The 13,526-nt window shown below is 45.3% G+C and overlaps 1 protein-coding gene across 8 annotated transcripts in view; it reads right to left on the bottom strand.

The window, feature by feature from the left end:
- Positions 1-13,526, bottom strand: part of IL1RN (interleukin 1 receptor antagonist) — a 34,655-nt gene that overhangs the window by 10,736 nt on the left and 10,393 nt on the right. For 2 of the 8 annotated variants that reach the window (XM_047444184.1, XM_011511121.2), the window contains 4 exons: positions 12,080-12,163; positions 10,165-10,279; positions 3,151-3,213; positions 1,661-1,831 (listed from right to left, as the gene is read on the bottom strand). Coding sequence is in view for 2 of the 8 variants with exons in the window: in NM_173841.3 (NP_776213.1) it covers positions 3,151-3,213; positions 5,251-5,260 (73 nt within the window). In the remaining 6 variants the exon portion in view is untranslated. Of the gene's footprint in view, positions 1-1,660; positions 1,832-3,150; positions 3,214-5,250; positions 5,309-5,613; positions 5,743-10,164; positions 10,280-12,079; positions 12,164-13,526 lie in introns of those variants that run through there. The other 6 variants (XM_047444185.1, XM_047444186.1, NM_001318914.2 and 3 more) reach the window with 6 other exon arrangements.

Here is a 13,526-nt window from a genome sequence, read left to right as displayed (position 1 = left end):
CAGCCTTGGCCATTCTCTGATGCCTCCAAAGAGATCTTTTGGAAATATGTTTTGTCTAGCTTTTCTAGTTATTCTCAGCAGGAGAGTTGGTCATAAACAACCTAGGCCAGAGGTATCTGATGTAATCTACTTTATTTATTTATTTATTTTTTTGAGATGGAGTTTCGCTCTTGTTGCCCAGGCTGGAGTGCAGTGGAGCAATCTAGGCTCACCGCAACCTCCGCCTCCCAGGTTCAAGCAATTCCCCTGCCTCAACCTCCTGAGTAGCTGGGATTACAGGCTTGTGCCACCACCCCCAACTAATTTTGTATTTTTAGTAGAGACAGGGTTTCACTATGTTAGTCAGGCTGGTCTCGAACTCCCGACCTCAGGTGATCCACCCATCTTGGCCTCCCAAAGTGCTGGGATTACAGGTGTGAGCCACTGTGCCCAGCCCATAATCTACTTTTCAAAAGTCTTATTATTCAGGATGGCTGGAGTTTGAGTAGCATTTAGAGGTAGGGGTAGGAAAAGTGATTTGAAAAGTTGGGTGAGGTCCAGAGGAGAAATGGCCTTTAAAGCCAGCCCGATGAGCTGGAAACTTATCTTTTAAAAAACTGAATAAAAGGGTAATGTTGTCAGGTGTGTTTTATAAAGATCGTGTTGGAGACAGTGGACAGATGGATTAAACTTGGATAGGGTCATTGACTCTGAAGGCAGGGCAGTGTTGTGCTGGTAAAAGTTTAACAATTGAATCTCCAATAAAAGTTTCCATTTGCCAATTTCCATGACATAATACTCCCACCACGGATAATTTCAAGCTACTGACATGATATCACTGAATGGGGAGCTGGGGAGACATATACACCATTGGATCCTGCTGGCTGCCGCACCCCAGAGAGGCAGGGAGATTCAGTCCTTCTAAAGGGAAATTGTCTCCACATTTCTCAGCTCCAACCTCCCTCCTCCTCAGCCCAAATGGCTCACCCCACAAGTTTCATCCCCCTTGCAGAAAACAATCCTTACTGATAAATCTAGTTTGTCGGGAAGCTTTAACAAATTTCAGTACAAACATTTTCATTTGGGCCTCCTGGAACTGCATTTGTGTCACGCAAGCACTATTTGTGAAATGTTGGCATCCAGCTTGGGTGGACAGATGTGCACACTGCCTTGTAATGGCTTCATCTCACATTTAGTGGCTTCGGCCAACACTTGAATCCTGAGTGTCACAGGACACACCACACAATATGGGCAATATTGTTTTCCAAACTTTGTAAATTTTTGCTAAGATAATGCTACAAAGACTCCAGTTGCTCTTTCCCAGTCATGGGTAAATATTTTAGTACAAAGAAGAGAAAGAAACACAAGAAATACAAACCCCCAGGGTATAATCTGATGTCTTCTTTTTGTTGGTCCTCACTGACCCAGTCCTGCCAAGTAGCCAAGTTAATTTTAACCAAATCCATCAACTTATTAGAAGCTCCCTAAGGCAGCAGGACAGGTTTGGAGACATCTGTACCCCTGAGTACCTCTACCCACCAAGCTGCAGCCCCCAGGCTTGCTGCTATCAGGGTGACCACCTCTGCTCTCCTGGATGATGAAGGGGATCAGGACATGGTATATAATCCAACTGTTATCTACAAGAAGCTACTCTCCTCTCAGATCTACATGGTTAACTTACTGTGAATCCTTTCTGAGGTTCAGAGCCTTCCAAGATGATTTTTGCCCCAGCAGTTTATGGGTTAGCTATGAATCTGCACTGAAAGTCATTACTTATGCAGTTATCTTGTGTTTTCAGCGGTACATGCTTGCTCTTGCCTTCTTGGCTTTGATGATTAGTTTTATAATCCCCCTGCAGACAGGAGGAAATGGAGAAGAACAGACACCATGGGGAAGGGGACAACTGTGTTGCTTACCTGTTATAGTTTAGGCTCTGTGTTACACTTTCACACAGATCTCCTTTTGTCCACATAACAGCTGTGCAAAGTGGACAGACATATTGACACCCACTTTCAAAATGAGTATAAATTCATAGTGACTTTATAGAAGAACTCAAGGTTCAGGCTACTCTGTCTATGGAGTGGCCATTCTTTTATTCCTTTACTTTCTTAATAAACTTGCTTTCACTTTGAAAATAAAAAGAAGACGAAGACGAAGACGATGAAGAAGAATAAGAGGAAGAGGAAGAAGAGGAAGAGGAAGAGGAAGAAGAAGAAGAAGAAGAGGAGGAGGAGGAGGAGGAAGAAGAAGAAGAGGAAGAAGAAGAAGAAGAAGAAGAGGAGAAGGAGGAGGAAGAAGAAGAGGAGAAGGGGGAGGAAGAAGAAGAAGAAGAAGAAGAAACTACTCAAGGCTTAGAAAGATTAACTCACTTGCTCCAGATCCTGGCCAGGCCAGGATTGAAACCCAGTTTAGTTATTTCTTCCCACACTACAGTCCTCCTAAAGAGGCCACTGACTTTTTCTCTCTGCTTCATTGCATGGTTAACATAAGCAAGAATTATATTTGTTCTTATGGTGTTTCTTTTGGGCTGAACTCCTATCTCATAGAGTAACTATTTAGTTCATAATTTCTTGAAAATTTGGGGAGGATTTTTGGTAATAAGGAAAGAAATGATTCTAAAACCTTACACAGGTTACAGGGAAAGCTCTTTACCTGGTTATGGACTAGAGTGACCAACTACCTTGGTTTGTCCAGGACTTTCTTGACTTTATTACTGAAAGTTCTACACCTTGCCAAACCCCTCAGTCCCTGAAAAACTCAGATAATTGGATTATTCTAAATTATGAACCCTTAAAGGGCACTGGTACCTCTGGTGGCTGCTGCTGCAAATTCCAGGCACAGTTAATGATTATAATTGTACCCTGCCAGTGTAGTGTTTTTATTAGCAGAGATGTGATCCATTTTATTAGACAACAGATAGATAGATACATGCATACATACATACATACATACATACATAGAGCAATCACACAGGAGTATTCAAAAACCTTAGTGAGTCTGCCACTCAGGAAAATAAACCATTGCAGATATATTAGTAATCAATCGTTTTCATTCTGATTAATTTTTAATTAAACCATTCATCTTTAATTTCCTTCAACTACATAATCAAGATGTTGTTCATATCTAGTAGCCTAAAATTGTTTTCAAACTTGGATCCTAAAAATAATTTACCCTTTGAGTCAGCATTGTCTTCACCTTCTCCTCCTCCTCCACCTCCTTCTTCATACAAGTCAGCTGTAAGGGAAGTGGTGGGACCCCATTGTGTAGAGAGAAAGCAGAGGTCCAGAGAAATGAATGACTTGTCCAAGGTAACACAAAGTGTATGCACATGGTTCCATCTCTATCCTTTACCCTCTGTTCTCACCCTTCCAGTTTCCAGTCCGAGTATGCACCCCGTCAACTTTTCTCTTCTTGGCACCCTGTTCTGTGCTGGGCAAACATTGATACCTCCCATACTCCTGGCCTTAGATGGAGAATGTGGTTCCTCTACCCAGGGAACATGGTGTCTTCACTAAGCTTATTGCACTTTTTTCCCGAATTCAATCCAATTCAAGTTAACACACATTTATTTAGCACCTATTGTGTGTCAGTTCAAAATATTTTGGGATGAACCAGTTTTAAGCACAGAGATTTATTTCTTCACAATGTATTGGTATCTGGTTCTAAGAGTGGTTCCAGCATCCTACTTTACACATTTGAAAAACACATAAGACCATGGGCTAACATTGTAGCACAACCCACCAGGGACCATTGTACCCACTGGGGGACAGGGGAGGATCTGCTGCCCCCGGAATAACTGCTTGTGGTTGACAAAGCAATTCCCCTCTCCATGATTTCATTAAGTCTCTGTGCCCCCATAGCATAGTGTAGTGGTTTGAAGACAGAATGTCTGCAGTCAATCCACCTCCTCCTCTTATACTAGCTGTCTGGCCATGGGCAAATTATCTAATCTCTCTATATCCATTTCCTCTTCTGAAAATGTGAGCAATAATAGCCCTTCCTCATAGGGTTATTGAGAGGGTTCAGTGGGATAAACCATGTAAAGTGCTCAGCAAGGCGCCTAGCTTGTAACGTGTCCATGACCCATTAAGAGCTGACACTTCCACTGTGCTTACTACAAGCTAAGAGTTGTCCAGCTTCCTCTAGACCTCCTCTTAACACCCAGAAAGGAGTGCAAGGAAAGTAAGACCCAGAAAGGAGAATGGCCTGCTCATTAGAGGCCTATTTTATTTCATTTTATTTATCTTTACATATTTTTTTTTAGAGAGAGCGTCTCTCTCTATTGCCCAGACTGGAGTGCAGTGGTGTGATCTCCATTCACTGCAACCTCTACCTCCCGGGTTCCAGCAATTCTCCTGCCTTAGCTACCCAAGTAGCTAAGATTGCAGACATGCACCACCATGCCCAGCTAATTTTTGTATTTTTAATAGAGACAGGGTTTCACCATGTTGGCCAGGCAGGCCTTGAACTCTTGACCTCAAGAGATCCACCCACCTTGGCCTCCCAAAATGCTGGGATTACAGGTGTGAGCCACCACGCCCAGCCTCAGGGGCCAATTTTAAATTAGAAACTTAAAATTAGAGTCTACATACCAATGATCCTGAGAGTTTTTTTCTTTGCCCCACACAAATCCTAACCGGAGGTTGCAAACTGGCAGCTTATAATTTAAATATTTTATCTGCTTGCTTTATTGTCTGGTTTAATCAGAATACTATATATAATGAAATCAGAATATCGGACTCTTCTGGAAAAGCGAGAAGTTCTGGCCACCTGAGCCTGCATTCTCTTGTGACAACTGGTGGAACTGACTGTGCCAAGCCCTTAATTCTCCACAGTCCCCACCCTTCCTTATCAATCAACCCTCAGACCTTGTGGCTCAGTGCCACATTCTATTAGTATTTCTCATTGAGCTCACACTGTTCTTTCTCTCATTTAACAGGGCTATTTCACCAATTTCCCTATTCTATCAACAGTGGAAAATGACCCTCACACTCCAAGGACTCCATGACTTCTGTCACAGCAGTTACACCTCTCTGTTCACCTGCTGCCCCAGCAGGCACTAGGCTTGCAGCCCCTGCCTCAGAGTGCCTGCATGGTCTCCCATGGATGCCTCCCCGTGCCCAGATCCCCCAGACAGGCCTGGAGCTCCATGCGCTTGACATTTTCCTGGACGCTTGCTCACCAGAGCCTGAAAGCATTTGATAAACACCAATTGTAGACATTTTCCTCTCTCATTTCTCAGGTGAAAAAATGAGAGTGGAAGGAGCTTACCTAAAGCCATGGGGAGGGCCTCATAGGACAGGAGGTCTTCTGAGGTCTTCCAGACTCTAACTCAACTGAGCTGCTGCCCATAAAGTAGCACCCGGGCAGTACCTGGGCCACAGTCCCTCCCAGGGTGGAGCTGCCCCTCCTTCCAGAGCACCTCAGAGAGTACAAGGAGGAGCCCAGCCTCCCCTCCCACACACTCACAGAGGGTTGGCCAGCATGAGGAGATGGGCCGGCTGATGGCTGACTTGATGCCAAGCAGGCCCAGTTTCCAGGAGGGTGACTCAGGCTAGCAGAAACCAAACTGGTTCTTATCTGCGTAAGATGGGAGGTCACATGCAGAGAACTGAGCTGGGCCTTCGTGCTTACCCCAACCCCGACTGCCGCCAGCTCATGCATGTGTGCACACATTCATTCAAAACATATGTGTTGGCTTAATCCTGTGTGCCAGGCACTCTTCCAGGCATTGGGAACAAGCCAGACAAGGTCCCCAACGCTCTAACAAAGGAAAACAGACAAGAAACAAGTTAGCAAATAAAATAACTTCATAGGGCATATTGCTATAGGGAAAATCCAAAGCAGGATATGCTTTTGAGGGACCTAGGAGTGGGTGGCTATTTTAGGGAAAGTGGCCAGGGAAGCCCTCTCTGAGAGGGTGACATAAGAGTGGAGACCTGAGCAATGTCAAGGAAGGGGAAGAATATTCCAGGTGGAGGGAACAGCAAGGGCAAAGGCCTTGTTTGAGCACTACGTGGAAGCCATGTCTTAGGGAATAACAGGGTCCATCCCGCTTCCAGTTACCCCCATGCCCTATACCTGGCCTCTGCCGTGACATTGTCCACAAGGCCAGATACTCTCTCCCTGCTTTCTCTAGAAGCACCTGATGTTCTGAACACCCCTCCTCCTTTTTGCCGTTGGGAGCGAACCTGCTTGTAGCTTCATGTCTCTGCATTCTGCCATCAGGGAGCAGACAACTCACAAATGCTTAAAGCCATCCAAGTTGATGGGGAGCAGTGGCAAGAGACCCCTGGGCAGGACGAAGTCCCGGGTCTAGTCCCCAGGTCTGCAGCCAACCAGTTGTGTGTGTGTGGGCACACCACTTCTGCCCTTCAGACCTCATTTTGACAGCTGCAAAATGGACCTGATGCTATCTGCCCTATCTTAGACTTAGGGCTCACCGGAAGCATGAATGACACGCAGTACATAAAATGCTCTGTAAATCACATGCATTTACACAGGCCCTTGCTGCAGGTAATGCCTTCATACACATATGAAATAGAGAGGAAGGAGCAGACCAGCCTACTGGCTGCCACCAATCTTGCCACCTACAATCTGTCCCTCCTGACAGGGAAGAACCCTCTCATTTGCAGAAGGGCTCATAATTCATAAACTTCTCAACAGGGATCTGGTAAGGGCCTTCAATTTCCTCTAACCCTGCAGACCTGGACTCATTCCCAGGGTCTCTTCATTCAACTCACAGGGCCTGAATGGGGGTGGGAGGGGCAGGGAGCCGGCCACAGGAAAGCCCCCCACCCCCCGCCCCGCCTGGGTGCTCCCGACCGCAGGGACTTCCCATGGGGCCTTCACTTCCTGTTCTCTTCCGCCTTGGCTCACCAAGATGTAATGCCAAGGTGTGTAAGGTTTGGCTGGAAATTTTCGAAGCAGCTTTTGTAGAGAAATTCCTGCTGACTAAAGAATCAGAAACTAGATTTGTAAACCTGGAAACTTCGTAAATGTCAACTTTGTAAACCTAGAAAGTTGGGCATTGGGGCAGCCTGGGAACCTGCCAGGATAGCCTGATGTGTCATCATGGTGTTGTACTTTTCTGTTATGACAACAGGAGGAGGACACATTAAGGTGGGCTCTGGTGGCCAGAGGTTCAAATCCCAGCACCATGAACTATAGCTGTGGGATCCTGGGCCACATCTATAAAATGAGAGTAAGATAAGACTCTTGCCCACCTCACAAGGTGCTTGTGAAGACTGGGCTAACAACTGTAAAGTGCTTGGCATGTGGTTGGCATTATTTAAGTATTAGCCATTACTATCAGAGGAAATAGATTGGATTTCTTCCCTGGGGAGCTAGGGGCCTAGCTGGTCATGAGAGAGAAAACTAGGCTTCCAGTCAGGGCCAGGGGACTACAAGTCAATCAGCACACAAGGCTGGGCATTCCCAGGTGGTCCCAACACTGGGGACATCGAGGGTAAAGGGACAACTTACGGGCATCTGTAGCACCCCAGTGTCTAGTCAGAACTCTCCTTTGCAAGCCTGTCTCCCTCTCCTCTCAGGCTATGAAGTTCTGATGGATCAGTGGCTTAGCCTAGGGTACTCAGTGCATCTGAGAAGCCTGGAGCCCAACATCCCAGAGATGGAGAACGCTGGGAGTAGTGGGAGAGCTGGCATTTGGGAACCGTGGAATTCTGAGTGACTGGAGACTCTTGATCATGGTGAAGGGGCTTCTGAAGAACCCTGAGGATCCACAACCCCAATGATGGTGACTGGCCACTTGCTCTGGCACTAACCTGCCAGCCTGTGGCATAGGAAAGAAGGAGGTAGGGGAAGGGTAGAAGGAAAGGGAGGCATCAGGAATGGAGGAGCAAGATATTGAGGTTTAATGTTATTAGAACCCCTCCCTTGAATTGAGACAGTCACAGGTGAAGCCCTCTAGCAGGAGAGACCCCAAGGCTCCCAAAGGAATTCCTACTATGGGAATGGAAATCTAGACCACACACAAGCAGGGGGGCCCTGGATGCCGTGAGAAGACTGAGAGCTTGGGTGAATCCCTTCATTCCAGCCAGGGGAGAGGTGCATCCTGCTTCCTTCTAGCTTAGACACACAAGGTCAGAGCAAGGGATTTGAGGTTTGAAAATACATGGGATCAGTTTTACAATTCTGATGACTGTAAATCCTTGAGTTGTTTGCCAACTTGTTTATCTACGACCGTAGTTGTTTACGGTCATAGACAAGCCCTTAAGTTTTTGCAGAGTTCCTAAGAATCTGCTCAGCCTGCTCAGCTTCCAGACTCAGCTTGTGAAACAGCCCCTCTTGTTCCCTGAACTCCTTTTGGTTCCTCAAATTCACCTCTTTCTCTCACCTCAGGACCTTGACACAGGCATGGAACACCCTTCCCTCCCCTGCTCCACTGACTAGTTACTTATCCTCACCCTTAAGACCTCAGCTCAGACTCTGCATTTATGTGATCCTCCGTGTAATATCTGTCTCCCAGGGCAGGTCACAGCAAGCACCGTGTCTATTTTGTTTACTCTTATATCTCCAGCTCATAGCCCAGGATTTGGCCCATAGAAAAATAAATGGGAAACCACCACTCATATTCTCATTCTCTCTCTCTCTCTCACACACACACACAAACACAGACACACACACACTCACACACGGACTCATACATCACCATAAATAAATGAGACACCTGATCATAACTTTGTAAGTGGTCACACATTGAAACTTCCAAGTCACATCAAATGTGGTCAAGATATATAGACTCTTCTTAACCTGTAATCCATTTTTCTGGGAGCTACCTCCATCGCCACCACCACAACTCACAGACCCAGCTGATTACACATGTACCTGACCTTGTCCCCAGGCCATGGCTCACTGGACTTAACGGTGGGCAGCTGCCTCAAACTAAGCCAGTACCAGGAATAAGAAACTGGGACTAGAGTTCACAGGGGCGAGGCATTTGGTAACTGCTCTCAAACTGAGGACTCCTGAATCCATAAGCCTTAGGGTGGTCACCTTCTGCAGGTGCACAGAGAAGCAGAGAAGACCATTCTGCTGAGAGAGAAGAACAAGCAAACAGATAGAGGCAGGAATGATAACATTATGGCCTTCGATAGAGAAACAATTACTACTGCCTTAACTTCTCATAACTTTCCTATTCCCAGTTACTGCCTCTCACAACGTCTGGCTGCACTTCCTGTCACTGTGTCACATCTCACAAATTCCCCATTACAGCCAAAACCAGCTTAAGCATGTCTGACTCCTGCAACCAAAGCCTTACTTAAATAATTCCACAAGAGCCAACAAGCAACCCATAAGGGAACTGAGGAGTCAATACAAATAAACAGAGGGAACTAATCCAGTAAGGTACACATTGAAGAATCCTTGACTACATTGGCATGGTGCATCCACAGCCACAAAGCTCACAGACATGAGTCCGTGGGTTCAGTAATGCATGTGTGAGGTTTTGTCTGCCCAGCACCCAGCCTCATGTTGCTGAGCAGCTCCTCCTTTTCTCAGTCCAACCATTTTTAAACTACTTTACTGAGGTACGATTGACATACAAAAAGCTGTACATATTTAATATTTACATCTCAATTAGTTTGGGGATAAGTATACTCTCATGAAACCATCACCACCATCAAGGCCATAAACATATCCATCACCTTTTGAAGTGTCCTCCTGCCCCTTAATTATTACCATTATTATTATTATTGGTAAGAACATATAAGATATACCCTCTTAGCAATTTTAAGTATACAATACAGTATTGTTACTTATAGGTACTATGTGATATATTAATAGTAAACCTCCAGAACTTATTTATCTTGTATAACTGAAACTTTGTACCCTTTAACTATCACCTCTTCATTTCCACTTTTCTCCTGCTCCTGACAACCAGTAGTCTACTCTCTTCTTTAAGCTTGACTATTTTAGATTCCACATATAAGTGAGCTCCTGCAAGAAATGTCTTTTTGTGTCTGTCTTATTTCACTCAGCATAATTCCCTCCAGGTCCATCCATGTTGTCACAAATGTTAGGATTTCCTTCTTTTTAAGGTTGAATAATATTCCAGTGTATGTATATACCACAATTTCTTTATCCATTCATCCACCAGTTGACATTTAGGTTCTTTCCATATCTTGGCTATGTGAACAGTGTTGCAAACTCCAATCAGCTTACCCCATCCTCAGCTATAGCACGTCGGGTACGTGACCCAACTCAGACCGATACGAATCTTCCTGATATTATTCAAGCTGAAACTGAAGGAAGAGGTGCAGTTCCTATTCCTCTTGTGCTGCAAAAGACAAGGTGGTAGAGCCGTCAGTCAGCTAGATCAAGGTGGGGTTATGTTACTTGCAACAACAACAAACAACCATAACAAAAGAGTCCTTCCTGTGTGTTTGCCTCATGAATATTTACTCCCAACCACTGTGTGCCAAGTGCAGTATTAGATTCTGAGGATACAACGGTCAGCAAGGTAGGTGTGTATTTGTCTTCATAGGATTCATAGTCTTCACACCTCCAGAAAACTACATTACAGCATAATATATGCAACGATGAAAGAGGCACAGGGTTTTGTGGGAGCACGGAAGAGGAACACCCCATTCAGGCTTGGGAGTGGGGTCAGAGGAGGAAGATGGAGGAAGAGGAACGGTGAGAAGCCCCAAAGTAAGAGAAAGCGTGGGCGGGGAATTCAGGCAATTATAAGTAAGTCACAGAACTAAACTGTAACATTCAAAGGGAAAAGCAAGGGGAGCAGCCTACAGGGCGAGGGGGGCTCCGGCCTCCACACTCACATCCCTTTACCTTATCAAGGGCCTCAGGCTTGGGGCAGAGTTGGGGACTCCAGAACTTCCTGCAGGGGAGGCTTGAGGTGGCATTCTGGCGGGAAGGACTAGCAACTTTTCAATTTGCATTTTCCTCCTTACATTGTATACTTTTTGGAGGAAGGGAAGTTGGAGAGCTGATTTTAATTATAGGGTCCTATACCCAGAAAAACAACTCTAGCCAAAGAATATCTCTGTTGAGTGTTGCATGTAACACGGTGGCTGGGCCCTCGGAAGCTCCGCCCCAAATGTTGGTCACTTAAACCAGCTTCCTTTTCTGAGGCCAGGGGCTTTCACAGGGAAGGTAGAAGCATTCAGACCATGGGATTTTGCAGTGCGTCAGAATTCCTGGAGAGACTGGCCTACAAACCTCTCTGTGCTCAGTAACAGGAACGGGTGATCAACCTGTGGTCTCTTACAAAGGATTGCAACATTGGCAAAAGGAGGCTGTGCCCAGCAAACAACAACCCAAAGTCTGGGGTTGCCTCAGGCCTAAAACTGTCTCAGATGGCTGAGTTTCAGGGGTGGGGCCAAGGCCATGAACTTACACCTAAGGAGGACCTGTTTGTCTCGTTCTGTTGTAAAAACAGGGTGCACATCTAACCCAGACTGGCCTCTTTGCCTCTGCAAGTAAGGGACCTGACTGATAGAGGATGGTTTTTGTGTGTGCACACGAAGCCTAGCATGCAATAGAGGTTATCATGTGAGGCATTTAATGGCTGGGTCCTCACCTGTGTGAGTGTAAAGGAAAGACTGAATGGAAAGAACAGTTGAGCTGCAATGCAGTCATAATGCAAGCCTCAGTCCATTCGCCAGGAGGTAGGGTGGCACTGGCAAGGGAGCCAGGCCTTTATATACCCACACTGAGCAGTCATTGGATGCGGGCTTCACCTGGGGAAAGAATGTGACCTCTTGAGCTATGGGCCATTCTCATGGATAGTCGTGGGGTTGTGAATCTAGGCGGTGTACTACAGTATCCATGCCATTATGTGAACTATCTCAATGAAATTCCACAACAGTATTCAGAATATATTATTATCTTCATTTTACAGACAAATAAACTGAGGCACAGAGCTGTGTGACTCTGAGCCACTTGGCCACCGTAGTGCCTTCTCCATAAATAAACACTAGATATGTAGTCAGGAAATGCCAGTTCAGCAAATCTTAACTTCTCATTTACCCACACACTGTCCCCTAGACAAGTCTTTCAACCTTTTTGAGATTCAGTTTTCCCAGATTTAAAATGAGGATTATAATGCTTGACCTACCTTTTACTTGTCTCATAGAATTGCTGCCAAGATCAATTCAAAACAAGCCCTTATATGCGAATGTGCTTTGTGAACTGCTAATTCCTAGACAAATGTAAGAAACAATGCTTATTACACGTGAAAGGCAGTATGTGGTCAAACAGATGGCAGTGTAGGACCTCTCCAAAACCTCTAAGCCTTTTGGTTACTCCAACTGGCAGAGGCCAAATGCAAACATTTCCATTTGATAAATGGAGAGACAGAAGTAAGTATCAGGGAAGTTGGTAGGCATAACTCATTCCAGAAATTAGTTCTTGGGATCCATGTCCAACACATCGATTTAGTATGGCTCTGATGACACAATGGAAACCAGAGGCAGCCTACCCAAGAGGATATGGACACCCACAGTGGGATAGAAAGGAGTTAACATTTGTTAAACACCCACCTGTGCCAGGCACTATGCCAGGTGCTTTATATAGGTTGCGTTTTTATCCCTTTAAGAATCATAGGCACTTTACCATTGACAAGTCAAAGGTTCAAAGAGAAGGAGTAGTGGTAACTTTTTAAGGATGCAGAGCTAAGAAAGAGCAGTGTCTGGCTTTCTTCAGCACACCTAATTATCTTTGCGCAAGGTGAGGATCCTGCTCCAATGCCTCGGGAGTCATAATTGAGGGGGCACTGGGAGCTACAGAGGCTGGCCAGCATTGAAATCTGTTTCTACCCAGGAATTCAAACTGTGTGAGAGGTGAATGTCTTTGTCTCTTGCAGCAAAACGTACCTCTTTAATTTTGGGATGATCCAAGAACCTGATGTGATTGATCAGAGAAATTTGCAAAACTAGGATAGCTTGGAAAGCTAGGATAGCAAGCCCACAGCACAGAAAAAAAGCTTCTGTGAGGAACAAGGGGCACCAAGAAGAAATATTCCCATAAACCCCAGAATGACAATGGTTTCCTCAAAGGCTTCAGAGTAGGACCTGGGATTTGAGTGTTGGCACTACTGCCGGACCAGAACAGGATTGTGTTTGCCTGTGTACGTGTGCATGTGTGTGAGTGTTCATGCAGTGAATGACATGGAGTCAGATATACCATGGGGACTTTTTTTTCATCTGCAACCACATAAGTCTCCATCCAGATCTATCTAAACACGTTTTGAAGGTGACTGTGGTCCTTTGGTAAAGGCACACCAGTTCTCATCCTGATGGATAATGTGAAGTAGGTCTCCAGGTGAGGTGTGAGGATCAATCAGCAGGAAGCAGAGTCAAGAAGAAACCAAGGCATGGCCCAAATCTTTTTCTCTATGGGGAAATTTCCCCATCTGTAAAATGGGGATGAAGACAGCACCTTGGTCATATGGGTAAAGTTTGTAGTAGGACAATGCAAATATGGTAAGTGCATGTCAGCTGATAGCCATGGCTCTTCCAAAATTTTATATATGCTGAGGTTTTTTTTTTTTTTGCAGTCATAAT

Source organism: Homo sapiens, chromosome 2 (genome assembly GCF_000001405.40).
Source record: "Homo sapiens chromosome 2, GRCh38.p14 Primary Assembly".
Taxonomy (NCBI): Eukaryota; Metazoa; Chordata; class Mammalia; order Primates; family Hominidae; genus Homo; species Homo sapiens.
This window is presented reverse-complemented; position numbering and strand designations above follow the sequence as displayed.